The sequence below is a fragment of the Homo sapiens genome, chromosome 1 (assembly GCF_000001405.40).
Source record: "Homo sapiens chromosome 1, GRCh38.p14 Primary Assembly".
Taxonomy (NCBI): domain Eukaryota; kingdom Metazoa; phylum Chordata; class Mammalia; order Primates; family Hominidae; genus Homo; species Homo sapiens.
In genome coordinates, this window is record NC_000001.11 from 181496186 (window position 1) to 181524053 (window position 27868).

General features: G+C 45.6%; 1 protein-coding gene across 14 annotated transcripts in view, besides 4 other annotated features; it reads left to right on the forward strand.

The window, feature by feature from the left end:
• Positions 1–27868, forward strand: part of CACNA1E (calcium voltage-gated channel subunit alpha1 E) — a 490386-nt gene that overhangs the window by 178487 nt on the left and 284031 nt on the right. For all 14 annotated transcript variants that reach the window (XM_017002244.2, XM_017002243.2, XM_017002249.2 and 11 more), the window contains 2 exons: positions 14292–14397; positions 15186–15325. In XM_017002244.2, the coding sequence (XP_016857733.1) occupies positions 14292–14397; positions 15186–15325 (246 nt within the window). The remainder of the gene's footprint in view (positions 1–14291; positions 14398–15185; positions 15326–27868) is intronic.
• Positions 1818–1967: an enhancer, noted in NCBI's record as "active region_2191". NCBI's record gives its function as "activates an Ori minimal core promoter by ATAC-STARR-seq in GM12878 lymphoblastoid cells {active_cell/tissue: GM12878}" and the evidence as "EXISTENCE:reporter gene assay evidence [ECO:0000049][PMID:35858748]".
• Positions 8540–8659: an enhancer, noted in NCBI's record as "active region_2192". NCBI's record gives its function as "activates an Ori minimal core promoter by ATAC-STARR-seq in GM12878 lymphoblastoid cells {active_cell/tissue: GM12878}" and the evidence as "EXISTENCE:reporter gene assay evidence [ECO:0000049][PMID:35858748]".
• Positions 9080–9309: an enhancer, noted in NCBI's record as "active region_2193". NCBI's record gives its function as "activates an Ori minimal core promoter by ATAC-STARR-seq in GM12878 lymphoblastoid cells {active_cell/tissue: GM12878}" and the evidence as "EXISTENCE:reporter gene assay evidence [ECO:0000049][PMID:35858748]".
• Positions 18274–18323: a silencer, noted in NCBI's record as "silent region_1614". NCBI's record gives its function as "represses an Ori minimal core promoter by ATAC-STARR-seq in GM12878 lymphoblastoid cells {active_cell/tissue: GM12878}" and the evidence as "EXISTENCE:reporter gene assay evidence [ECO:0000049][PMID:35858748]".

Here is a 27868-nt window from a genome sequence, read left to right on the forward strand (position 1 = left end):
CTGATTTTATACCAGTATTGTACCTAAGGACATATTTGGATTTACAATCAGAAAAAATATCTTCAGGAGCAATAATGATGCAGAATTTTCCCAGAAAGCTTTTGATAAAAACAGATAGGATACTTAAAATGATCTATAACCTTAACAGACTCACTTGATTTTGTCTTTGAACAAAAATGGTAGCAAAAAATTTCAGATGGCTTGATGGATGGCATGTAGAAGGATCCCCTTTAGATCCTTGGCATCTGGGCAGATTTTCTTCCTGGGGGTTGCCAGCCTCCTGGCTAACTACTTCCTATCTGCTTAGGCTTCTTGGGTATTTAGGGCCTCTATGTTTGTTCTATCAGATAAGAGAGAAAAGATTGGAATTCATTAACTGTGGAGGAAGCTTCTGAAAGGGTTAGGGTGCTGTGGGGGGAAGGGGAAACCTCCATTGCTTGGGACTCTTGGAAATTTGCCTAATGAGCTTGGTGAAGGTCCTCTGCTAGGGATATTAGGGGCATTTTACCTGTGGGAAATGTTTACTGGTGTGGACGAGAATGGAGAATTAGGATGCACCACTTGGCTTCCGGAAACCAGACAGAGCACTCAAAAGAAATTAAGGAGTGGGCCTAAAAAGTTAAAGGAACTGCCTCTCCTTTCTGCTAACTTTGGATTGTTTTTGCATGGAAATTTGTATTTGTGAAATAACTGAGCCATATGGATGCACAAGGATGCATGTGTTCTTCTAGTCTGTTGATATGAGGAGCAGTTGAAGGGTGTGGGCTTGTCTGGAGGTGGGGTGAGTAGGTGGATGTGGTAACATGAGGAGGGAGCAGGTCTGAGGAATATGGGCCTATGTCAATCCGAGGATCTGGGCATTTTGGCAAGAGCACCCTCCCTTCTCATAGAGAGGTATTTATTTATTTTTGAGATCACCATCTGCCCCACCACCTCCCCCCACCTGAAGTTCTATGGATAAGGATGTTACATCTCTGGGTAACCTCTTTCCCTGGCGATGATTAAAGAGTAACAAATGCCCACTCAGAAAGACTGTACAGGCTGAGAAAGACTGAGCTCATTTCTGTCACAAACATCAGTAGACAGGCTCAGGAGAGCAAAGCAAAGGAATAGATTCTAGGAAATTAGAACTTCTAACAGCTTTCTATACTTCCACTGTGAAAAAGGCTGGGTGCAGAACAACCTGCATAATCATATGCCTTACCATTTCTCTTTTTATCTTACCTTCGTGTCTTTTTATCATATAATTTTACCACCATTCTATAAGGACCTCCCTCCAGGCCTGGAGAGCTTTCTGTTCCTCAATATGCATCCCTGAGAATGGATGGAGGAAACTAACCTTTAATGAATGCCTATTGTATGACAGGCACTCTACAGTGTGCTCTAGAGGAGTGTATCATTTAATCCAACCCCGGGTGAAGTGGATATTGTTCTCATTTTATAGATGATTAGCTTAAGGTCACAGATAGATGTGGTCTGACTGGTGCCACTGGCTGCTCTCTTTCCATTGTTTCATGCTGCCTTGGGTTAGACCAGAAGACCAGCAGGTACTCTTCCCTAACAGAGTATCTTTTTAGGATGACACTGTGAACTACTTGCATGCATCTGCAGCATCACTGGGTATGAGGCTAACTCATGAAGGAGTGAAGGATCAGTAGATGGAAGAAGAGCAACTATCTCTTTCCCATCATTATGGTCATCATGAAATGGACCTGAGACATCCTGGCCTGGGTCACTGGAATGCGAGCTTGAGTCGGAATCTGAGATCTTTGCTATTTTGTCTTTCCCCCGCCAAAACTCCACTGCTGCAGTTCCTTTATCTGTCTGCAGAGCGCGTTTGGTTTGGAAATGCCAGTTCCCCTTTCAATATTAGCATGGAAAGTCCATTTTCTTTTTTCCGGTTCTCAGAGAAGTCTACCCTCAGTCCTTTCTGTTCTGGGGTACCCATAGTGTGAGTCATAGTGTGGAGGTGGCAGCTTTCATGACCTTCTCTTGAAATTTTACATACTGAATGCAGCTTTTTAAGGAAATGAGGGTTGGGTTATAGAGAGACTGCAGAAAGACTCTTATATCCTGATAAAGACTATAGAAGAGGCTTATAGTAGGTTTGTGGAAAAGGGCAGCTTTTCCACAATGGTTCACTTCCAGGCCACCATTGTGAAGATTCTAGCTTTTCTTTAACTCTGTTAGAGAAGCTGCTAGCGAATCCAACTGGTCATGGAGCTCCTATGCTTGACAATTTAGAAGTATTTCCATGGACTCTAGACCCTTTCAAGATGTCCCTGGGTGTGCCAGGATTTCCATTTTTGAATGCTATTGTGGGATCTCCTCATTAGTAATTTCACCAAAAATGGCTTCTCTCAGTTGTAATCATGTATGCTCTTTCTTTCTCCTCCATTTCCCTTCCCATCATGTTCCTCATTAGCATAACAGAATACTAGAATATTAGATTTATAGAGAATAAAAAGAAACTTGAATCAAACTCACACTTATCCATAAGAAAACTGAAGGCCATAGAGGTTAAATGATTTGCCTCAATAAGTGGCAGAGCAGAGCCTAGAACCCAGGGCCGCGACCAAGTGCCAGCATCCTTTTGTCACATTTTCTCTTCTTTCCTCTGTACCCTTTCTGTGCTCAACCATCTTCTCTCTAGTCCCTTCTTTCTCTTCTGGGGCTTCCTCATCCTTAGCAAGTATATGTTTTTGGTGTTTGGGGCATAGGAGGCTGGATATAAGGATCATGACTAATAAGAAAGGACTTACGTAAGAAAAAATAGGAATGGATAAGAGAAAGATATTCATAGAGGTGAAGCCAACCAGCAGAGATCCAGTGAGAATTGGTAACAGTGACTCAGAAAAATGGTTAATATTCTTCTTTCCCAAATATGTTGCTGGAGAACTTTGTGAAATGATAATATAAAACTCAATAGGCAATGGACTTCTACCCAGTGTAAAACCAAGAGCAGATCTCAGCAGATGGGAGAATAGATGGATGCTTAGGCAAGCACTCATCTCAGAATGGTTGCTGGGCTCTTCAGTAGCCCTAAGAAAGGCAAACTATCCAGACTCTGCCCTGAGAGGTAGCTCTTTGAGAACAATTGAGTACTCCTGGGAAGGAGGAAGCAGCTCAAATAAAAAGATCTTTAGATCCCTTTCTTTTAGAATTCTCTATTGGAGCTAAGAGACCAGGGAATTTTATTTGATTATTCTGATAATAGTTTTCCCAAGCTTTTCAGGGTGTAGGGCTGAGAGTACAGAGAGGTTTCTAGCCCTGGTTCTAGAAAAATCTCATTCCTTTCCTGGTCTCAGCATCTACATCTGTAAAATGAGTGTGTTGGAATAGTTACTAAGACTCTAAGGTGCCTTTCAGTTCCCACTGTAGAGACTCTGGGATTCTAGTTTCCATCATTGTTATTTCAGCTGATTGGAGGACACGATTAACTTTCTTGGTCTCCAGCATTCGAAGCCTGGCTGCACATTAGAATAAGCCTGGGAACTTCTAGAAATGCTGATACCTAGACTGCAGCCAAGACAAATTAAATCCAAATTTCTGGAGATAGGACCCCTGTATTCTTAATTTTGAAAAGCTTTCCAGGTGATTCTATGGTCCAGCCATGGCTGAGATCCACTGATCTTCTAGACCGAGGGGAGCCAGTTACCTGACTTCCTTCTGTTTCTTTTGAGTGTACTTTGATTACGTCTTGGCTGCTCCCTCTCAGTTTTCTTGCAGGCTATGGTGAAATAGCAGGAGCCGCCTGGGTGTCTTGAAATTTAGCCTGAGAGAATGGGGTGATTAATTCTTATGTGTCACTGCATTGACAAAGCCATTCACCTGTGGCTGCTTCCGACACACCTCCAGCTGCACAGGTAACAGCCTTCTGTGATGAGGGGGATGGACCAGACATCCTGAATGCAGGTCTGGCTGAGGAGGCCATTTGAGGCTGAAGGACAGAGTAAGGCTCACCCAGGAGGCCCTTGAGCAAGTGACTAAGAGTTGTTGACCTTGCTTCCTACCTGGTTGGTTCACCCCTTATGCATATGAAGGTTGATCCAGCATGACTACCATTGAATACAGCAGTCACCGCCTTAACATCCTTGACACTCCCCTGGGGATGTGGAACTCACAATAAGTGCTGTGCTGAAACTGGCTTGTCCCAGCTCTTGAGTGTCCTCTCTGTATGTCTCTTCTAGACTCCATGTTCAGTGATATCAAGATGGTAGCTTGAAATTGGCCATGGAGAGAGTATTTATACCCCAGAAATTTGCAAATGCTACACATTGGGGCTTTTCCCCCGAAGTTAAACATCTATTAGCACAACACTTAGTTTTCTACTTAACAAAATAGTCCATTCACTTGTGGAACAGTGGAAGTTCTTCTCTTTATTGCTCCAGATCTGTCTTCGGATGGGTACTCTGCACATTGGGTCTTAGTCTTTGCCTCCATAATAACTTAGAAAACATCTGAGCCCCTTATTACAAGCTAGCCCTTCAGATATTTGAAAGCAGCTGTGATGTATTTCTCAAGTCTTCCCTTTCCAAGCTGAGTATCCCTAGTTCTTTCAACATTATCTCACGTGGTTTGCAGGCTCAGTAGGTGTCTTTGAATGCCAGGGCACAGTTGCAGAGTTTTCAGAGGAAAACAAACATTCTCCCACAGGTGATCTATGGACTCTTTCACAAAAGGCTTTTCATTTTTCTTATGCTGTCTCAGTTCCATGATGCTGGTGTTGATATGAAGTGGGGTGTAGTCTTGGGTGGGGTTGCTGATTGCACCTCATAGTCATCTTCCCTGAAATGCACGTTGCTGCCAGAACTCTTGATGGGCTCCAATTCATCAGAGTGTCATCAAAACACAAATTCTCGTTTCTGAAACAGGTAATTTTCCCACTGCTGTTTTGTTTTCTTCCAGAGGCTTTTAATGCTCCCCTTTTCTTTTTTCCCTTTTCTGTAGCGTTCAATCATTTGTCTGCTGTTCACCAAAACTGTGTGTTGAATGACAGCGTTTTGAGTCCAGGATCCAGTCACACGCAAAACAAATGAATTTGTTAAGACTTATCCAGCTGTCTGTAACTGCAAGGGGCATGGCAGTGGGAGGAGGGAGGGAGACAGTACTGTCTTATTTTCTCAGAACCAGCACTTCCCATCCTTTGGGAATCAGGGCCCAGATGAGTCTGGAACTGACCTCAGTGTTGGTTCACCAAAGTAGCAATCATGTGCACTTCCTTTCAGCCACTTTATCCAGAGGGCAGGGTCCTGGGAGTCAGATGGGAGTTCTTTGGTCTAAAGTAATGAGAATTTGGACTTGCCTTCACAGCCAGCATTAAATGGGTAATGCTTAGGATCTTTTGCTTTGAGTAACTGAGTCCACTGACCTCCATGAGAGAGCAGCAGGATTGTATTGGCAAACAAAAGGCCTTTTGGGGAGTTCTCTGCCTCTTTGTTATGTTCTCAATATTGCTTTATTTGTCTTTCATTCATTAGGTTTTTAGGAGTAGGTGTGATGGCATTTCCATCTTCTTGACAGCAGGAGTGGGGAAGAGAGAGAGAGAGAGGGATTAAGAAGGAGAGAGGTGTGTGTCTGTTCAGGACTGCCTGTCAGATGGTGAATTTGAACAGAGGCAGCTGTTGTCATGGCGATGGCAGGTTGCATCCCACCACCATGGAAACCAAAGTTAAAAAACTGATGTTAAGGCTGGAAGTCACATGATACATTTTTGTTTTGTTTTGTTTTAAAAAAAGAAAAGGGGTTTGGTTTTTTAGTCTTTTTTTTTAAGATGAGGTTGGGTGGTGAGAAAAATTGCACAAGGAAAGCAATGAGATGATGACATGGGACAGTATGGAGTAGGCAGAGCCTTCTTTCATGTTTTTCTGCTTGTTGACAGTGCATGTCTCCTGCCGTGGTTAGAGAGGGGATGGGAGGGGTATGCAGGGTGGACTTCCAGGTTTGCAGCCAGAGTTGTACACTGCTAACTGTCACATGGAGAAACACAGGGGTTTAGCCCTCTTGCCCTTTGGAGGTGATGTGTGGTTCACCTTCTGTTGATCAGCCCAGAACAGACCCAGGAAACCTAAAAGTATGGACTACCCAAATAGGAAGATAGTCCATATATTGATAAATTTGGAAGGTTAACATTTATTTTCAGAGAATTGAAAAGTTCATCTATAGCTCCTCAGAATCTCCAGGAATAGTTCTGTCTGTTTATTCCCTTTTCTGGGCTGGTCTCTTTTGGGCTGCCATGTCCTGCCAGGGCAGCCATAGGAGTGAGTGCAAAGAAGTCCAGAAGGAGCCCTGGGCCAAGACTCCTTGCACCATAGCTTATCTCTTAACCTGGGCCCTCTCACCTGGGCAGGGTGGAGCGGCTTGCTGAGAGGCATTAGAAAGCCCTCTTGGCTCTCCATCTTTTTACCTCATACTGACTTCTACTTTATGCCATGATCTGGAGAAAATGTGAAACATCCCTCCAGGAAGGGAGCTGGACTGGCCAGGGCTGTTTTTGCTTGCTTGTTCTTTTTTTGTTTTGTTTTGTTTTTTGAGACAGAGTCTCACCCTGTCCCCCAGGCTGGAGTGCAGTGGTATGATCTCGGCTCACCACAACCTCCATCTCCTGGGTTCAAGCTATTCTCCTGCCTCAGCCTCCTAAGTAGCTGGGATTACAGGTGCCCACCACCATGTCTGGCTAATTTTTGTATTAATTGCAGAGACAGTGTTTCACCATGTTGGCCAGGCTGGTCTTGAACTCTTGACCTCAAGTGATTCACTCGCCTCGGCCTCCCAAAGTGCTGGGATTGCAGGCGTGAGCCACTGTGCCTGGCCAGGCCAGGCCTGTTTGAACAGGGCTGGTTTGAATTTTCCTTTTGTGTAGACAGGTTAGGAAGCAGAGATTTCTGTAAGAATGTCTGCTTCTAGGAAGGTGAGGAAGACCATGAGGGATGCAGACACACTGTTGAAGTGATGGTCATAACTATTGCTATGTCTGGGTTTTAGGCACAAGGTCTTATGTCTTCGGCATTACTCGTCCCTCCAGGACAGATGTATCTTTCTCAGTCGGCTCAGACGAGGGTCATATGATCTCACCAGCATGATCTCACTGCATTTCCATCAGGGTCTGTGGGAACTGGAGCCAGACTTCTGTGATGGTTCAACCCCTCCTGTTCTTAGCCCTGGCCTGGGGTGTGATTAATATCCCTTCTAATCACTGGGAGAGATTGCATCAGAGCCATCAGCTTCATAAATCCTCCTCTGGGGACTGGTGTTTGGATGCGCTTTCCATATTCTCAGGAGGTTCTGGGCCAAATGTCTTTGCTCTTTTCCTGGAGGCCCATTACCATAATTTTCTTTTAAATCCTTTATTGGAGTTGGTCTCCTCTGTGTCAGTCCATGGCTACAGCCAGCCAGCCCACTCCTGAGGGCTGGAGGCTGTAACCACCAACAGATGCTTTCCCCAAAGTATTGAGCCACAGTAGATGCTGAAAGATTGAGTTAGTAGGATACTGAAAGTAACTGTATTTGTGCAACACTTTACAGTTTTCAGAGGGAGTTCAGATTCCGGTATCATTTTAGGCTTCAGTCCTTTTGTATTTCTTGTTTGGTTCTGTGGGAATGGATGGTCATAACCCTTCATTGACTCTTGAGTACTGTGTTGGGACAGCTTTTGCAGTCGGAGGCCTGGCTCTGGTTTCCTTTACCAAGCTACATTTTTTCCATTGCATTCCAGGTCTTGAAGAAGATTCTGAAGTTACACGGAAGGCTTGGATAGCTGTATTTCATTCCTGTTCATATGTAAAATGTCTATTTGGTGTCATGCTAATAGGGAATCACAGACTAGTTAAGGCTCTTTCTCTGTTACTGTCTTTGAGTCAAAGTCCACTTATTAGGATGATATTTATGTGCACATGAAGAAGAGGTGGAAAGACATGCATGAAGGTGTCCATGCCATCCTCTGAGGCTGTTACATCTCTTGGATTTAGACATCCAAAAACATGAGACTGAAGGGAGAAAAGGAGACAGGTCTTCCTGTAGGGTCTGGGGTGAGGGGTGGAAATGGGTAAAGGAGGCTGAGGAATGCCTCCCCTCAGACTGTGGACTCTTCTATACCCCCCCAGGAGTTTCCAGGAAGTGCCTGAGTGCCCACCGACTGCTCCCCACAAAAGCATATTCTGCATTAGGCTGAAGTTGGGAGAGTGCACAGCATTCTATCTGCCTGCCTGTCAGAGCATGGCCTTCTTAGTGTTCGGATGTCATAGGCTCTGGGAGGAGACAGCTAAGTACAGAGGTCTTCAGGATGAGCCCCCTGGTGGTGATAGAGATGCATGTTTGCCTGGGGACACCCAATATTTACTGCCTGAGGCCTAAGTCCTTCCCAAGCATGTACCTACAGATCTGTACCTGAGAGGTGATGATGAGGAGGCTTTTCAGGCTCAGGCAGATGAAGAGCTCAGCTCCAGGCCAGGCCCCCAGGGCTCCGGTGACAGCAGAACCAGCATCACCACCCTTGCCCCAGCTTTCTGTGCTTCAAGAAGGAAATGAACAAATGGCAGGTGTGCAGGCCACGTCGTGCTGCTCAAATTAGCCATGTTGCTAAGGAAACAAGTCAACCATTCAAAGGAAGGAGCATTGGGTAAAGGAGATAAATCAATAAGTGAACCTATTTTTATCATTTCCCTAATGATTGTCTTGAAACTGCTAGACTAGAAAGAGAGTTGGAGCAACACAGGTCCTCATTAATGGGCTCAGAGGGAACGAGGAGTGAAGGGGTGTTTGAGGAGATTGCCAGTAAAGTTTATGAAATGAGGCCTCTAGTGAGCAGTGAGCTGGTACAGGAGGGAAGGCAGGAAGGAAGATGTCTTTTGCAAGTTTCAAAGTGGTTTCATGGTCATTTCCTCATTTTGGCCAGGTCCCTTCATTCTCTTGCATTTAATCCTCTCCGAAGTCTTTTTCTGATTTCTCTGGCCATCGCATTCCTCCTCACTCTCAGGTTGGGATGGGTTTTTGTGTTGATTTGTTCTTTTCAGGATACATATAGCTTTAATTGATTTTGTAGTGATAAATGAACACATGCTCATTTGAACACTCAGAAAATGGTTAGAGGAGTAAAGAAGAAAGTGAAAATAACCCTGCTACCGAGAGAAGACTCATCATCCTTCCAGCAAGACAGAATTTTTTCTTGTTCTCTCCCTTCTCTTTTTTTTTGTTTTTGTTTTTTTTGAGACGGAGTCTTGCTGTGTTGCCCAGGCTGGAATGCAGTCGCACGATCTCAGCTCACTGCAAGCTCTGCCTCCCAGGTTCACGCCATTCTCCTGCCTCAGCCTCCTGAGTAGCTGGGACTACAGGTGCGTGCCACCATGCCTGGCTAACATTTTGTATTTTTTTTAGTAGAGATGGGGTTTCACCGTGTTAGCCAGGATGATCTTGATCTCCTGACCTCGTGATCTGCCCACCTCGGCTTCTGAAAGTGCTGGGATTACAGGCGTGAGCCACCGCACCTGGCCTTCTCTTTTTTTTTTTAAACATGAAAGGGATCTTCCATGTATGCTGGTTTATTTTCTTTTTTAAATAGGTCATGTGTGTCTACAGTGGACAGTATAAAAAGTTCAAATGGGTATACAGTGTGGAGAGTGTGGGTACCTTTTGTAAGGATACCTCTGGCTCTAGTTTCCCTGTATGATTCATTTATCAATTGAATATTAATTTATTAATAAAATAACAGTTACCGGGGCCCCACTGTGTGCCAAGTACAGTGGTGAGTGAGGCAGGCAAGGTCCTGCCCTGGGGCTCCCAGTCCTTACTGCCCCATCATCTCCATTTGTTCAAGATTTCAAAACACAAGCAATCTGGATACCAGGGATAGATATTCTTCCCTAAAATATGCACAGTGTCAGGCACAGAGTGTAATGAGTGTCACTGAATTCTAGAACAGAGAGTCAGAGTCCTGGACAGACTTCCATCTTGTCCCTGATTGTGGTTGCCATGAAGGGTGATGGTCTTTGAGGCCGTGGCGACTCGGAGCTCCCTTTGACCTTTCTAAGTCATGTCTTTGTCCAGTCTGCCAGGTTGAGGGGCACTAGCTTGACTGGTGGGTGGGTGTTATTTGCCGTCTAGGCTCTTCACTTTGGGGATGTAGCAGAGCCATTGCTTTGGGGTGTGAAGTTTTGCTGTCGGGAAGAAATGGGAGTGGTGCCTCGGAGGCAGCCTGCAAGGGTGGGAGTGAGCAGGAGCCATGGCTCAGGCCAGAGTGGGTGAGCAAAGCCCTGTCTTTGTAATGGCTCCTTAGTGAATGCCTCATGTTCATTCTTACCTGCATTGAACATTGACTAAGCTCCTACTATATACCATGGGCTCTGCTAAGCACTGCCAGTAGAGACATGAGCAAAACTCCTGCTTTCAAGATATAGTTTCTTGATTTAAATAGGAGAAGAAATAATACAGTCACACAATTCAAAGAGCTGTGGGGCACGGGGAGAAACTTTCACTGACAAGGTGGCATTTCAGCTTGGTCTTGATGTATGACTGGAAAGGAGAAGAAACGCCATTGCATGTGGTGGCAGAAGCACCTAGATGTAAATGCCTCTTTTTTGTGCTTTCTTCAGAAAGGGAAGTGGAAAAGAGTTTAAAGAACAGGGCTGTAAGGGAGAGTGGCTGGGGCCTAGGCAGACTTGGATGGTCTCTTCTGCTCACCTCCCCTGAGATTTCCCTGCCACTATCCATTCTTTCACCTAGCCCACAGTTACACAGAATCTCCACATTCTCACTGCAGGTTCTTCATTACCGCAGCCATGAATTCATCCTGAGGTCTAGATGCCCTATAAGGCTGAAAGGGACATCCCTCTCAAGGGCATATATATCTGAACAATTTTAAAAATGTAAAGCAAAAAAAAAAATATTTTTAAGCCAGAAGATTGCTGCTGTGAATGGGCCTCACATCAGATAGTGGGAAGAGGATTTGGCTGGAGAGGAAGTGAGAATAGGGTCTTCTTAGAACCTGTGAATTACCAAACTCCCACCTTTAGATTCTAGACTTTAGGGCCTTGGGTAGCACCAGCCATCAAGACCTCATGAATTCTCAGCCACCCAGATACCTGGCCAGTCACTGGGAGTTTGACTCATCAGCACCTGGGCCAAGAGCCATTCCGCTGCCTGGAGCATCTTCCGGTGGTGTTGGCTACACCTTCCTGAGCTAGCCTGTGTCCCCACAAACCTCACATATCTGCCCTTGGACATTCTGGACTAGTTGAGCTTAAAGGTCCTTATAGGGAGCAATATACTTGGGTTAACTGGCTAGGAAAATGCAGGTATGGGTGTGGAAGCAGGGAGCTGGGGCAGTGGAGGAACTGCCATGGTCCAAGGGGATATTGTGAGTGGAGAGTCAGGGGCAGTGGAGGAGCTGCCATGGTCCAAGTGGGTATTGTGAGTGGGGAGGCCTCGGAGGCACATGGCTGCCAGGACCTGTCTTGCCTGCAGGCTCAGCACTGAGAACCCATCTACTTTGAAGCCTGTGCTTATCACTTTCAGGTTTTCAGGGGAAGAAGATTCAACCCCCCAAAACAATCATAGACCCCACATAGACCCATTAGAATGCGAGAGGTCTGCAGCTTGAACGAGAAAGTACTTGTGCCCAGTCCTACCTTCCAGGGCAGGCACTGGGCTTCTTGGATCTGCTGAGCAGGTGTCTGAAATTGCATGAGACGTTTCCAGCTGTGAGGAGTGACCAGGTGAGCCCCACACTGTTGTGAACACTTTTGTTAGGAACCAGGACAGGGGATGACATGGAAGAGGCCCTGGTTTCACTCCAGTCAGATCCATCATCCCTCCTGCCCCAGCTCTTGGGGACTGGCAGACAGACCCCCACTTTGTGTCAGGCTGCCCAGGTATGTTCCTGGGAACACCGTTCAAAAGAGATGCTCTGAAAAAAAGAGTTACAAGGTGAAGCAAGTTTGGGAAATGTTGTGTGCTGTCCCAAACGCCTTGTGTGTGTGTGTGTGTGTGTGTGTGTGATGGGGTGTGTGCCCACTGTATGCAAAAGTATTAAAGGCCCCAAGAAGTCCTGCTGGGGAGAAACCTGCTTAACTTTGCCCAACCCAGGCTTTCTCTCATTGGTTGATTGCAAGTTCCTATAGCACCAGTATTTCATGGCCTGCATCTTAGGAATACCACTCTCAACGCTCTCAACTTCTGTTGTCTTTTGTCAGTGACTTGTATGCGTGTTGCCAGTTCTCTTTCTGGATCCATCGCCCAAGCATGTTTTCAGGAAAGGGTATGGATTCCTTGGCCACCATTGCTGCTGGGTTCCCATCTTTAATTTGCAGGATGAGTCTGGGATTCCGGGTGCCTATGCCAGGCCCAGGGCAACCTAGGCTGTTCAGAAGGCTTATGGGACACTGGGTCCTTGTGTGGTTCCTGGTTGCTCTGCATTTTTTCAGAGGTCTGGGTTACAGCCATGATGGGAGGGGAGGAGCACTCCTCCTGCGATCAGTGGGCATGGGTGGCCCTTGGCAGGCTGTATGTTGGGGGCCAGTCCTTAGAAGGTGGTCATGCTAGCTGGGTGGGCGTCTGTGGTGTGTGTCTGCTGGCATGTTTGGCTCTCAGGGGCTTCACACCCGGAGTGTTTGAAGGAAGAGGAATGCCCATGGGTGCTGAGGGACTTTCCATGTGGGGAGGCTCCCCTCTGAGTGGGAGGGTTTAAGCAGGCACAGTGGGGTGTGGAGGCAATGGACAGGCTCTGAAGTCCCCTGAGGCCAGGTCTGTTTTTAGTTCCGGTGGCTGAACCTCAGGGCAGCAGAGGCCCGTGGAATGGTCTCTGGGGTCTGTGTGCTGTGTGAGTGCTAGAGGTGCGTGGGAAGGAACGATGGTGGTCAGCTGCTGGCGAGTGAGTGTGACTCTCCAGTGTGACTCAGAGATGCATGGTGGTGGGGGAGGAGAAGGCACTGCCAAATGAGGATTAAGAGAAGGACTAGGGGCTCACACACAGCCAGCATCTCAGCCCTGCAGCCCCTGATGCCAGCACCAAGACCAGAGCAACTGGTGAGCAGCTCACATCTCATTGCACACACTGCCTTGCCCTCCCCAGAGATGCCCTGGGTGCTAACTTAACATTGTGTTATTGCCACAGGTAGCCTGGCAGGATGGGGGCATTGCAGGGATAGCTGTGATTTGCCCTCCTGAACTCCACGACAGGGTTCCAGGCCCTGCACCCTACACAGCCTGTCTGGGTATGTGGGGAGATAAGAACAGTCCCTTTCCTTCCCTCCACTTTGCCAGATCTACGGCTCCTCTCTTCTGCCTGGATTCCAGAATCTTCTGGAGCACAGGTTGCTCAGCAAGACCAGCTGCAGTAGCTAACTTGTGTTTGTCGTAACAGTAATCACAGAATGAAATTCCAACATGCAGAATGACAGCACTGGGAGCTGGTGATTCCCTCTTTCTCTTCTGAGAGTCCTTCCCACCTCCCTCGGAGCATGTGGCAAAACCTTCCTGCAGGGGTCATAGTCCTGTTTTTGAAAAGGCACAGGGAGCACCTCACCTGTTTTCAAAAACATCTAACAGAAAAAAGCCTGCATTCATTCATTGTAGTGTGGTTCTTACAGGACTGGACTTTGCTGTCCAGGATTCCAGACTCGTGATCAGTCTCTGTTTCATATAGATGCAGACACTTAGAAGAAAATAAGGTGGGACAAAGCAAGCCTCTCCTTCCCCCAGAAGTACATTGCTGAGTGGAATTTTAAAATAGAAGGAAGCTCACATGGAGAGAATTGTTTATTTTCCAGATGTTCTTCTGTTACTCAGTGGTGCAGAGATTCTAGAAGAGAGGACTCCAGTTGTGAGCCCAGGAGAGCAATGGATTGCAGCAGCTGGATCTGTGCACAAGCATCGTTACCCAGTTCAGTGGTTTGAAGACTGGGGAGAACAAGGGGTCTGCGATGGCATTAATTATGTTTCTTCCTCCTTTCTTCCCCCTTCTATTTTCAGCCTTGGTTATTGGATTTGTTATTGAATTCACTCAGTAGCTGGAGTGTCTGCCATATGCCCAACTATATTATGTATTGGCTATATACGTTCCTTTTTTGGAGAAGATGCTTTGTGTTCAGAGACCAGGCACAAATGTTTTTGGTTTCACAAAACCAAAAGTGGATGCTAAGGACCATCCACTGTCTTGCCTGCCTGCCTGTTTACAAATAAAAATCATGCAAACTGCACAGACACAATGCGGGTTGATAGAGTTGTGTGTTTATGGGCACGGCCATCTTGGAGGCTGTGTCCCTCTCTGGTGAATTTGTTCCTTAACTCCGCTTTCCCACGCCATTTGAGTACATGATCCTGGCCACCATCATTGCCAACTGCATCGTCCTGGCCCTGGAGCAGCATCTTCCTGAGGATGACAAGACCCCCATGTCCCGAAGACTGGTATGTGATTCCCCTCCTTCTCCCCTTTGCCCCTTTTGTCTTTCTTGGTTTCTTCTCCTCTGCTTTATCACTCTCCCATTCCCTTCCTGCCTGTGAGTTCTGGGAGGAGTTTGCTCTTTGCTGGGGGACAAGCTAATGACAGACCCCATGGGGATTCACACGGAAAAGAAGAGATTACAAACACTGTGTCTGTGCTGCGTGGCAGCCAGGGAAGAAGAAAGGGCAGGCACAGGCCCATTTTCTTCCCTCCTCTTTCCTAAGGGACTTCTGATACGAGAGGAAGAGGTGGGGAGTAGAGGGGAGAGGATGAAGGATGCTCAGTGCTTGTGTGTATTTGTGGTTATGAACTTCCCAATGCTTACGTCCTTATTCTCCTTAAAGAAATGAGTCACACATCTAACGTATTCCCCCTAAAAAGAGCAGACAAACTGCCTAAAATTCACGTGTGTACTTGAGATGATGACCTTCAAGCTTCTAACTTATGTGAAGAGCAGCAAACTCCTTCAGGGCAAAGCCAGGGCCATCAGGGACCTTCCTGGGAAGGAAGTCTAGCCCCTGGGTGTGACCCTCACATTGTCCATTTCTACAGCTGGCTCCCCTGGGTCTCCCTTGCCCTGTGCACTCCTGAGTCACAGACAGCCTGCAAGGGTCCCTTAGCACCCTTGCTTCCCACCTACACATGGGCAGGCCCAGCACAGACATCCAGGAAGGGCCAGGCTGTGCTTTTGCCTGTGTCTCATAAAGCACAGTCCTCTTCTCACTGGTGCTTCTGCTCCTCATCCCCACAGGAGAAGACAGAACCTTATTTCATTGGGATCTTTTGCTTTGAAGCTGGGATCAAAATTGTGGCCCTGGGGTTCATCTTCCATAAGGGCTCTTACCTCCGCAATGGCTGGAATGTCATGGACTTCATCGTGGTCCTCAGTGGGTAAGTCCATTTTCTCTCTCTGTCTGTGTGTGTGTATGAAGGGGGTTGGTATCATGAGGTGGCTGGGGGCAGGGAACCTGGGGTGGAAAGACAGCAATCTGTAGAGTAGGGGCAGAAGAAAAAGTTCAAGGCTAAGATTCCCCAGGGTGCTGGACCATAGGTCAGCCACCTCAAGAGGAGGATGAGTACTGTGTGGAGATGCGTGTGGTGTTAGGCAGAGGCCATGGGACTCTCAGCCAGGTCTGGAAGCTGCCACTTCTGGTTTTCCATTCTGTGCTTGGCTCAGTGGCTAAACACCCACTTCTCTGGGGAGGGTGACATTTCCCAATGAGCCTTTTCACCAAAGCAAGCAGCTTACCCCCGCCTGGGAGGCACCTCCAAGACGGGCCAAAAGATGTAGTCAAATGCAGCTTCTTTTGGGCGTTGGAGAAGACCTCAGCCATATTTTCTGAACTGATCATTGAGACTTGTGTTCTGACAACAGAAGTTTTTATCATTTGCAGATTTGTTAATAGTATAAAATCGAATCATATTAAAATGTTGGATAAATCATTCTGTGGAAATTAATATAGCCATACGACATTGGGGCTGACCCAGTGTCACAGCAGCATATATGATGGCAGTACATTTAGTTAAATATTTGATAAATCATTCTTTTGGAAATGAATATAGTATGAGGAAGCTGGGTTGACCCAGTGCCCTTGGCAGCAAATGTGTTGGCCTTGGGAATGGTGTGACGGGCAGGCCTTCCTGGGCTTTTGTGGCTTCCTATTGGTCTTTGTGTCAGGTGGCTCTTGGTACCTGCAAAGCTGGGCACTGAGGAGTGGTCCTGTGTGGATGTGGCAGCAAGTGATGTGGTCTGGAAATTCCCTTACCCAACTGCTTGGCAGACAGGGTTCAAACCCATGAAGAAAAGAAGAGAGTGACTTAGAATGGCAGGGAAGGCGAAATATTAGCTACTACTGTGATTGACCAACAGGAAAGGAGAGAAAAGAGGAATTGTTTTCCAGGGAGGAGTCAGAGGAGGGGTGAAGGTAGATAAAGTCTTAGAAGGAAGGGTAAGGGCTTGGGAATGATTGCATCTATTTGTTGTCATGTGGAATAGACAAAATACTCTTATTTTTTAATCTTTACACCATTGGGATTACATGAAAGAGAAAACACTGAAGATGTAATGGACTGGAATATGTAAATGGAAGCACGTAAGCAGCCAGCCCCTCAATATGGGAAATGGATAAATAGACTGGGATGACTATTCATGTTTAAAAATATCTGTTGCCTTACAAAAGGATTTTCTGGAGGTTAGTTTTCTAAAAGAAAATTCTACTACATTTTAAATATGAATTAGTATATGAAGATATAGTTTTTACATAGTATTACAGAACTATATTGGGTAATGTTGCAAATGTCCCTAAAATAAATAATATGTGCTGTATTAGAAGAGGCCTGTATGAGAATCTGAATCATTTAGAAATGTTATGATTCTATCTAGAAGAAAAGTGTTGTATAAGTCACTACAGAAGAACAACAAAAAAAGAAAAGTATTGTAATGTGTATATAATAAGTTTGTGTAAATTCTTGGTCCTGCTCAGCTCTATATGTGGCAGAATCCATTTGAAATTTCTTGTCTAGTCCATTTATTTTTGTTTTAAATGATTATATGTTCATTAAAGAAATATGGAAAATACAGAAAAGTCAAAAGAAGAAAAAAAAATTCACTGATTCAGAAAAATTCCTGATTGTTTTGTGGTATTTCCTTCCAGGCCTTCGATGCTAAGCAAGCTGTCTTTTAAATGCTTGTAATTTTGCTGCTTTCTTCCCAATATAGTATGAGCATATTACATGTTATTGCATATTTTGGTAAAAATCTGTAATGACTGATCAGCAGTTTGTTAAGTAGATGTACACATCTTGCTTCTCATTTTTGCAGTTACTTGACACTTGGATTCTTTCTGTTTTTTGGCTCTGATAAATAATTATTAAAGATGCTCCAACGTACGTCTTTTGGATATCACATTTTATGAGACATTTTACAAGGTTGAAGAAGTACTTCTGGAGGAGTATACGGCTGTTCTGGTGTGGGGTCTGGGAACTAATGGCTGAGAGGAGGTAGAGAAACTGGTCTGTTTGACTGCATGAGAGAAGACTTCCAGTAGATGTTAATCTCTCTGCAAATAAGGGTTGCTACATGGTTGTTGAAGAAGCAGATTCATAGGGACCCATAGGGTTCTTTTGTCAGCGAAGCCAAGAAGGGCCCCTGGGTCCTTGCCTGCATGTCCAGGGGGTGTTCAAGAGTCAGTGCAGGTGCTGAGCTTGGCTGAGTCAGTTGTCCTCTCTGTGCTCTCTTTCCCATCCCTCACATCTTCCCTTCTTAGTGGCTCTTCAGATGTCCCTGGCTTTGTGAATTGCCTTCACAGGCCCCTGATTTCCATATGAACTCACAGGACTTTGCTCCTGCTCCTCCTCCAGACCTGCTGCTTAGCCCTCTTCTCAGCATGGACCGTTCCCTTTCTCCTCAATTCATGGGTGAATGTGCTCCAGGCAAAGAGCTTGGTCCTCTTGAGATCCCTGCTGAGGGGCTGAGGGTTGCGGTTCTATCCCACAGGAATGCATGATCATATTTAGTCTTACAGTCACATGATGCTCTCATCTACCACATTGTGTGGCTCTAAGATGCACGTTTTTCATGCTGGAACATTGCTGAAATCAGCCTGTGTCTTACAATAATGGCATGATATAGTTTAATTGACAGCATGTTTTTCTTTCTTAGTGCTACATAAAATTACGGGGCATCTTACAATTGTTGGGGTTGTAGATTCAATGACATGTGATACCAACCAGGGAGGCAGGCAAAGTGGACTTTAGAGATGAGTCATCTGGTACTCAAAGAGGGTAAGTTATTCACCCAAGATCACACCTGCCTCTTAATGGCAGATGCAGGAGTCAGAATTGTGCCTTTTGATCCAGGGCTGGTGTTTTGACCCCTGCCCTGTGCAGCCTCCTTACCAGGCCACCTGGTGTCCCCCTTTGTCTTCCTGACACCTGCACCCACAGCAGTCCCTGCTGACAGCTCTTCCTTCCCACCTCATCTCCAGGTGTCACCTCCCATTTTCCCCTCTGCACAGGAGGAATGACAGGTGCTGGAGCATGACACAGTGCCTCAGGGCTGAGGCTGCACAACTTCTCAGCTCTCGGTGCTGACAGGAGGGAAGTGGGTGCTGAGGTGTCAGTCAGCTGGCTCAGTGTAAGACCTGCTCTTATTGATCTTTGCTGAGAGATGACTAGTTGAGGGGCCTGGGCTACCACATTCTGCCTGTGACCTCTGACCTCCTAAACTTTAGTGTTCTTTGGCCTATAAGTTGAGGGTGTGCATGGTTTAGAAAGCGCATTTATGTACATTGCTTCATCTTGTCCTCATAATGCCATAGAAAAGACCTTGCTAGCCTCATTTTACAGATGAAGAAACCGAGGATCAGAGAGGGCACATGAATTGCTAGCAGGCACTAGATCCAGGACTTGAGACCACATCTCCTGGCTCCAAGTTCCTTCTTTCACTGACTTTTCCCCATACTGGCAGTTACTTCACAACCCCAAGGGCCCCATGGTTCTAAGGCTCTGTGGTTGCAGGTTCCTTTAGTCCCCGTGAGGCAGTGTGGGATGAGCTCAGGGAGGTATGATCAGGCAAATGTTCACTCTCAAAGGTGGGGCTTCACATGTGAGTTGAAGGGGACAGGGGCCCAATGTGTCCATCCTGAGACTTCTCTCTGTGGGCTTGGGATGAGACTCCCTGCTCTGTGGTAAAGAAGGCATGTCACTTTAACTGTCAGCATAGCATGGTTTGATGTGTAGAGAGTGGATCAGAGTTCCAGCTGATTTCTTCCTTAAATGGCTTGTTTGTTCACTCATTCACTCACCAATTCATTAATTCAGTGAAACTAGTATTGTGTTGGTGAAGGCAGAAGGCAATGCTGGGACCGAGAAATGTGGACGTTATTATATTTTCCCACCTGCTAAAAGACAGTGGAATTTGCCATTCTTTTAACACATTCTTATCTTACAGAACTTGGGATCTCTCTTGCATTGGGAACAACTCAGGCAATTTTTAAACACTTGTCAGGCCACCTGGAGAATTCCAAATTAGTTGAAGTCACTATTACACATTAGTCAAGAGTGAGTTATAAAAATATAGTACCTGGAGCAGATGGACAGATGAGATGGGAGGATGAGAGTCAAGGGTACTCCTAAATCATGGGTAACAACAGGGAAATGAAGGCGAGGACTGTGTCTTAGATGCCCACTCATCTCTATATGCCCAGTGCCTGGCATATAGTTGGTACTCAGTAAATGCTGATTGAATTGAATTGCTTGCCTATCCCCAGATTCTCTTGTCTATAGGATACAAAAATGAGTGCTGGGGGAAGGCTGGGGCTGGGGTAAAGAGGGATTGTCTGTTCCCAGCCTTCCCCCTTGGCCTGGCTGAGCCAGGCAGTGTCTATGTCTCTCTCATCTCTATCTACCTCTGCCAGGCTGCTCATATTCTGGTCATTCTATTAGGAAAATGAAAGCTGGGAGCTCAATTTCTAGGCCATTAAGCAATATTGGGCTTCCAGTCACCTGTGGTTATTTACCAGGTTGTCAGTGTTATCTCCTGAGAATTGCTTCCTGGGTGATAAGGGCAGAGTCAGCACTGCATATTGAAGACCTAACCTCATTGAAGTGGCTGTGGATGGGGTGGGGGTTGGAGGGGTGGATAAGGAGAAAGCAGGGGTATCACATCACCTAGCGTTTACCATATAATAAAAATGGTCATTTATTGAACCATGTGCCAAAGACCACACACACACACACACACACACACACACACACACACACACAATTTCTAATCCTAAAAATGTACCAGGAGTTGAGAATCATTAGGCTTGACTATTACCCAGTCCCATTTTACAGATGAAGAAGCCAAGGCACAGACAATTTAACTTGTCCAAATCCAAATGGTTGGTATAAGGTAAAGTCAGAATTTGAACCCAGGCCAGTTTGCCTTTAGCACCTGGGCACCTTCCCTAGGCCAAGTGATGTCACTGCCTCAGACTCAGCGACAGCACCAGCTGTTCCTGTGCTGCTGGAGCAATTTAGTCTCCTTTCCCTATTTCCCTTGTGTCTCTTTGGGTTCAGGCCAAATGGAGAAAAGTGTGTTATCCCTTTCCATCTAGGAAGTCTTTGTTTTCCATTGTATGTTAAAGTATTGGTGACATTACAGAGCTAGTCTTGAGTGTTGGTAATATTGTCTATTTTCCTAAGAAAACCCCCAAATCAGCTCAAAATATGCTCTTTCCTGAGTTTTGTCAGCCTTGCGTGGGAGGTGACCTGCGTTGGCTCTTCCCTTTACTGCGGAGCACATGGTGTAGACTCTGGGGAGGGGCAGGTGTGTCTGTGCCTGGCTCTTCCTCCTTCCTCTGCCAAGGTCATCACCCCAGGGCCTAGGAGGCCCCTCAAGAGCTATTGCTGAATACCCACTGTGTGCCAGGTACTGTGTTTGGTGTGGGTGGAATGGGGCCTAGTGTCTTCCATGGTGGTGGGGGCTGGAGCCACGCAACATGAGAACGTGAAAGGGTGTCCAGCCTGGCCCTGGGGCACTGGGGAAAGCTTCTTGAAAGAAGTCACATTTAAACAAGTGGAAAGGATGGACAGATGGAACTTAGCTGGGCAGGGAAGGAGAAGAGCCCTTCTGGGAGAAAGAATGCTATGTACAAATGCCCTGTGGGGGTGGCACATGGAGAGAGGCACACAGACAGACCACAGGACACTTCTGGAAGCCTGGCAGGTGGCATGGGGAGAGACCTGCAGAGGTCAGCAGGGGCCAGTCTAGGCCATTCTGAGTAGTCTGTACTTTAACCAGAGGGCAGTGGGGAGCCACGGAAGGCTTTGAGCAGGGGGTTCACTATTTCACTGTTTCACTCTGAGTCTGCTCTGGATGTGGCACAACTCTTTTTTCTTTTTTACCCTGGAATCAACTCTGAGGAAAGCCATGGAAAAAAGTTGGAGCCATCTCCACATCCTTAGCTGCAGTTTGGGAGAATGTGCAGAGCCAAGCAGAAAGAGGGGAGGCAGAGGAAAAGGGAGCAGGGGAGAGGAGAGCCAGGGAGTGCTGCAGTAAAGCTGGGAGCTGCCGTCCTCATCCCCAGCTTCTCGCCAGTGGCACATGCAGAACGATTTAGCCTGAAGCCTGTTGGTAGGAGGATGCTATCTAGAGCTAAATATATATTGATAGGTATTTTTAGAGGGTTTTCTGTAAAGAGGCTGCCCTAATACAAGAGTTTCCTGAGCAGCTAAAGATCGAGGAAAGCAGAGTTTTCCTCAGCACTGTCTCTCTGAGGCTGAGAATGTGGGGGAAGAGTTGTGAATGCAGTCCTCAGGCCCCCAGCCCAATTTGAATCCCTGTGGTAATAGTATGATATCAGTGGGTATTTATATAGCATCACCAGGCCAGTGAGCCTGGCGGGACCTCAGAGACCTGTCTTTTACTTGTCCTTACTGTTCTGGGCAGGTGAAGGATGCAGATGGGGAGCAAGGGCAGAATGGGTAGAGGGAGGAGACATGAGAACTTGTTATTTAGGAGATGGGGAAACCGAGGCTGAGTGGAGCAAGGCAAGGGACTCAGAGATACTTAGCTGAGCTGCTAGATGAACAGATATTTATTTAGTGCCTTAATGCTAGGCACTAAACCTGGCATCAGCATTATTAATGCTGATGTTGGGGAGGTCTGCAAGCCTGTAAGCCTTACCACTTTTCAGTTCTTCCTCTCAGCATCGTTGCTGGCTGCTCCTCTGACAGATCTCCACCTCCTCCCTGGCTTTTTGTGCATTTCTAGCTCCACACTGGGGAGCACAGCTGCCACTTGCAGCATCTCCTTTTATCAGAACATTATTTCTGTTCCAATTGCATTTCCCCCCAGATGGGCAAATGATGGAAAAGATAAGGTTAGAATATAGGATTTCGATTCCAGGGAGAGGTGGGCAAAAGACAAAATGTGAAGCTTAAAGGTCTCTTCTTAGCTCTGTGCTGCTGATAAATCCAGTTACTTCAGGGAGACTCCTAGTGAGAGTGCCAGTTAGTAGTTGATGGGCAGCTGAGTTGGGATTGTGCCTTGGGTGGGAGGGAATTTTTTCTCATGTATGCACTCTGTCTTTTTTCTATATTGAGATGCACCATTGGTTCACTCAACAGATATATATTGAATATACACTGTGTTCCAGATGTAAGACATTGGTGTTGGGATGGTTTCTGTTTCCTGAAAGGCTTCTTCTTGCCACCCCCACCCATTGACAGAAGCTCCATATGGACAGAACTGAGTGGGGCCTGAATTGGCTTTGATATCACCAAAGAGGAGGAAAAGCCAGAGGGAGTGAAGAAAGCTTCGAAATCCCTGGGTGGTTTGGTTTGGGACTTTATTTGTCTCCTGGCATTGCATTCACTCAGGGTGATACAGGGAAAGAAATTATGGCAAGGTGCTTTCTAAGTCAGACCGTTCTCCTGGGCCTGGAGCTCTCATTTGAAGGCAGTTAAACTCGTGCATTCTTGTGCTTGTGCATGAGTGTATGTGGAAGAGGGAGGTGGGGTGAAAATCCCCAGGTATGTTTTCAAAGCAGAGGTGGATATGGCATAAATGCGAACTCTATAGATTTACAAGAATTGAGAATTAAAGGAACTGTTTACATTTCCATTCTGTGGTTGAAATATGTCTCCTCCTTTGGGTAGAGATTTGTGCACTTGTGTCTATGTTGTAAATGTAGTCCACAGTTAAGTATAAATGTGTTGGTGTGAAATGTGAAAATGCAGCAGCACTATTTAATGTATGTGTCACTGAAGTCAGGAAATAGCAGATATAATGAGTGCAGAGTGGTTACCAAAGGGAAGGGGCAAGGTGGGGCAGAGCCGATGTTGAGAGGAAAATGAGGGCATGCTGGTTTAAGAAAGAACGTATGAAGACAAGGTAAGGCTAAGGTTACTAAAGCTCAATCACTGAATTTTAGATCTAGGAGAATAATAAATTTGCCTAACTTTCCCTTACTTATTATTTTTTTCACAGAAGAGAAGACTAAAGTGCATGTTGCTAAGTAACTTGTCCAGGGTCTTTTAGATGGGGTGTGGTGAGCTGGGGCTTGGATCCTGTGTAATTCCAAATCTAGGACTCTGTTGCAGCGATGCCTTACTACCCCTGGCGATGAGAATCTGCTGCTTCTTGGTTGTATTTAGGCCATGAAGCTGGAGGTATTAAGAAATAAGATTTTCTGTTATTTGGCTGGAATATACATGTGCAACTTACATGGAAACAGAGTTTAATCTCATGGACTGAATGACCTGGCGGCTCTGGGTTCTGGTCCTGATCCTGACATACATTCTCTCTGTCATACTGGTGATGATGTAACCCATCTCAGCTTGGCTTTCCTTTATGAAACTTCATTTATGAAGTGAAGGTAAAACCTGCTGTAGCTACCTCCACCAGGTTTCATGACAAGCAAAGAGGATAGTGATGATGTTGATAATGACAGCTCCCATTTAACCAGGAGCTCATGTCTTATTTTAAATGCAGAAGGCTTCATATTCTATATTGGCACTTGCACATATTATTTTAAATATAGAAATGTAAGGCAATAGTGATATTATCTCCATTTTACGGATGAGGAAACCAAAACTTAAAGAGGCAAAGTCACTTGCTCAAGGTCAAATAGTTACTAAGGGGAGAGATTGGCCCTTTAATTCTATTATCAACAATTCTAAAGCCCTTGCTATATCTAGTGTACAGCACAGCCTCCACTGCCAAAGTGTTTTGCAAAACAATAAAGCAAAATACCAAATCAGTGAACAATAATACCTTCCCTCCAGGACAGTGATATTATAAAGATAAATGTTAAAATACACATAAAGCACCATGAGTGCCTTGAAAAAAACCAGCATATAAAAATTGAAAGTACTCAAAATACTATGGTTCTGTAGACCTCATTAAGAATGGTCATTTATCTCTATAAAACTTGCAACCACAGAAACAAATTTCACTGAAACCTATTGCAAATTTTAAAACTATGGTAAATTTAAAATTTTCCATTAGTTATAATTTTGCCTCAAGAGAGAAGTTTACTACATATCGCACATAGGATGTATCTTATTTCCTATCAGCAGCATATCTAATTTTATCAAAATTAGTCAAATCCTGCTACAGTCATTACCCATAAGAACAACAAAGAAGTTCCAAGAGTAAAAGTTGAAACAAAGGCCTTTATTTTAAATTTTTCTAACAAGGAAAATGTTACATTTTCTAGATTTCCATTTTTTTGGTCTTCCCTTTCTTTGTCTTCTATCCTCCCCACTTCTCACAAAACATACACAGGCCAGAGGGGTCAGCCCCTGTCCGCCCACATCTGGATGTGACCCAGGAAGGCTGACAATGCCCTCTCTCCTCCAGGAAGAATGTCCAGGCAGAGCCCTTGCACAAAGGAGGGGCTGAAAAGAAGCCTGAGGTCTGACTTCTTCCCTCTTGTCTTTCATTTCCTTCCTTCTTGACTGCCACTCTTCTGTCAGTTGCCTGGACCTTGGTGACAGAACATTTAGGAAGGGGGATCAGGGCCATGGCTTTTCTCCCTGGCCTCCAGCACTGGAACAGTGACTAGGAGGCAGAGTGACAAGGGTGGCTGCTTCACATGTCAGATGCATTGGAAACAATTTACATCACTGTGGGGGTCCCTGCATCTCACCTCCTCTCCACCAGCCCTCTGGGGCCCAGCTGGCCTTGGAGAGTCCTTACCTAGTCCAGGTTGGCATGACTAGCCATGGGAGAGCTCAATCTGAAATGGAACTGAAACTGACCTGGTTTGGGGTATCTTTGCTGTTGAATCTTAGTCAAAACTCTGGGTGAGGGAGAGAAAACCAGAAAGAAGCCCACTCAGGGCTAAGCATCCCTAATACCCATATATGAGCTCTGAACTATGGTGTGGGGGAAAATGGACAGAGTCAGGAGAAGACAGGAGGGAAGGAAGTATAGAGGCAGCCGGTATTAGTTGAGCACATCCTGTGTTCAAACATTGTGCTGACTGCTAGGGACGCAGCACTGGATGGAGATATAGCCTCTATTCATACCTTGCTGTCCAGCAGAGAAGACAGATATTTACTTTAATTTAATAGTGTATAACATGCTGCATAGGAGAAGACTTAGGGTGCTAGGATAACTTTTCACTGGGACCCTAACCTAACTTGAGACCTGAAGACTGAGTTATACTTAGCTAGGATGAGACGAGAAGAGGGAAGGGGACAGGATGAGGAGAGTTCCAGGCAGAGGGTAGGACAGTTGTGCAGGGCTAGAGGTGGGGGAGGCCATGGCAGGTGTGAGAAACAAAAAGAAGGCTGGAGGGGACCACAGTGATTGTAATCTAAGAGGGGTTGGAAAGTAGGCAGGGACCACATCATTCACATCATTCAGGGCCTCGTTGGCATGTCCAGGCATGTTCAGTGGGAGGCCATTGAATGGTTTGAAACAGGAAAGTGAACAGATTTGCAGGAGAGGCACGATGTTTGCAGAGAAGAAGATAGAACAAGTTGCCCAAATGACTCCATGTCTCCTCAGAATTAGGGAAATAGGATTAAAGTCCTCAGTGTCCCTTTCTTCCTTCTTGCCCCCTCCTTCCAACATCAGCCCTCAACTATAATTTTGTTTAACCTATTGGAGCTGTACCAAAACCCAGTCTACAGACCTTATAATCTAGCTGAGCACATGTTAAAGATTTGTTAACCTGCCCAGAGTAGAGACATAGTCCCTGGCCCTCTGAGATTATACTCTGAGCATCTCCTACTGATTCAAATAATGGGTAAGAATTGATGAGTGTGTGGGCTTTTATTTTTTATATTCAGCACAGAAATTATTTTAAAAATGCTTTGCTGAGAACATTGCTATATGATTATTATGATTTTTATTTTTCTGATAGAACAATGGTCAAAAGATCAAGCCAACCCACATGCTTGTTTATGGGATGTTTCTCTTTTCCCTGTTCCCAAAGCCCATGACACATCATGATGCTGAATCTGGATCCTAACTGAACTCTGGTTAATAACCACTGTAAATATAACATTTTGTGATTTAGGGGCCCTTACATCCTTCCAGTGGGGAGCTCAAAGTGCTCTGTGAGTTACATTCTACCCACTCATTTGGAAGAGGGAAATAGAGAATCCCAGTTCCCTTTCCAAGTAAGTGTCGTATTCTCTGTTCTGGAGACAGGTCACCCAGATGGATCCTTCACATATGGACTCTGGTGATAGAGACGGGAAGGGAGTAAATGCTCACCCCGGTCTTTTCTCCTGCCCACTTCCATCCCACATCCCCTCTTCAGATGAGTGCAGCCAGCTCTTTAACGTGTTAGCTTCTTCCTCCCTGCTCTTCTGTTGTCCTTTTCTTAGTCTCCCTAATCCTTCCCTGTTTTCATTTTACATTCTGTTCTGAAATACAAGACTTGGGGAGTTTGAGGTAGATGCCACAGAGGGTAGTACGTGGTGTTGTGGTTGTGGTGTGTATGAGAGACTCATTCTGACCAAGACCTTCTTAGAACTTTGTCTATTAGACTCTGACCTCCAGTCCTTCTTCTCCAATAAGCAAATTCAAGTTTGGGGTGGGATCTCCCTACTGGGAATCTGATCAGGTCAAAGTTTGACTAGCTAGTACTGCAAATAAAGGAGGAGGAACTTCCAATGATTTCCACTCCCCCCAGCTGTGACTGGTCTGAACTCTAAGCAACAAGAAGTCACCTACAAGCACTGGCTGTTTCCTGAATAAAGTTTCCCTCAAATATGTAACATAGTATATTTTGTAGTGTGTGGATGCTGTTGTGATTTATAAAATATAAATACATCTAAAAGTATTGTTGAATGAGTAGTATTGTTTTCTTTTTTAATTTATTCAATATAGCATAGTGATTAAGAATTTGGGCTTCATAGACAAGCAAACCTGAATTCATATCTTTGCTCTACTGTTTTCTAGTACTGTGGTTGTGGGCAAGTGACCCAGCTTCTGTTAAGTCTCAATGTCTCCATCTGCATAGAAAAAGGAATGGCTCTGGGTAATAACAATTATTTAACCATGTTGTTAAGGGGCTATAGTAATTGAAATAACTCCTCCAAGGGATGGGGTTGGTCTTGAATTTGTGACATTAAAAAGAGAGCCTCACACTTGAAAGAATGAGAATTGCTAGTTCAGTGTAACTAACCCATTGATATGAAAGAAGGAGATGAGGCCCAGAACTGCAATGTATGCCCCATTTTGCCTGTGGCTAAAGCCTGATTTTAGTCAAGCTGGTCTTCAGTCTTGTGTAGAGGTGATGGGGAAAGTAGAAGTAGAAGTTAGATACAATGCTTCACTCGTGAACAGAACAGTCTAATTGGAGTTCACGAGATATATGGCCCGTGTTTGATTTTTGGTATTTGGTAGTGGAGGTCTGGGAGTTGGGAGCAAGCAGCTGTCATCCTTTTGGGAAGCCATGCTGTCCCCAGCAGGTGACACCCCAA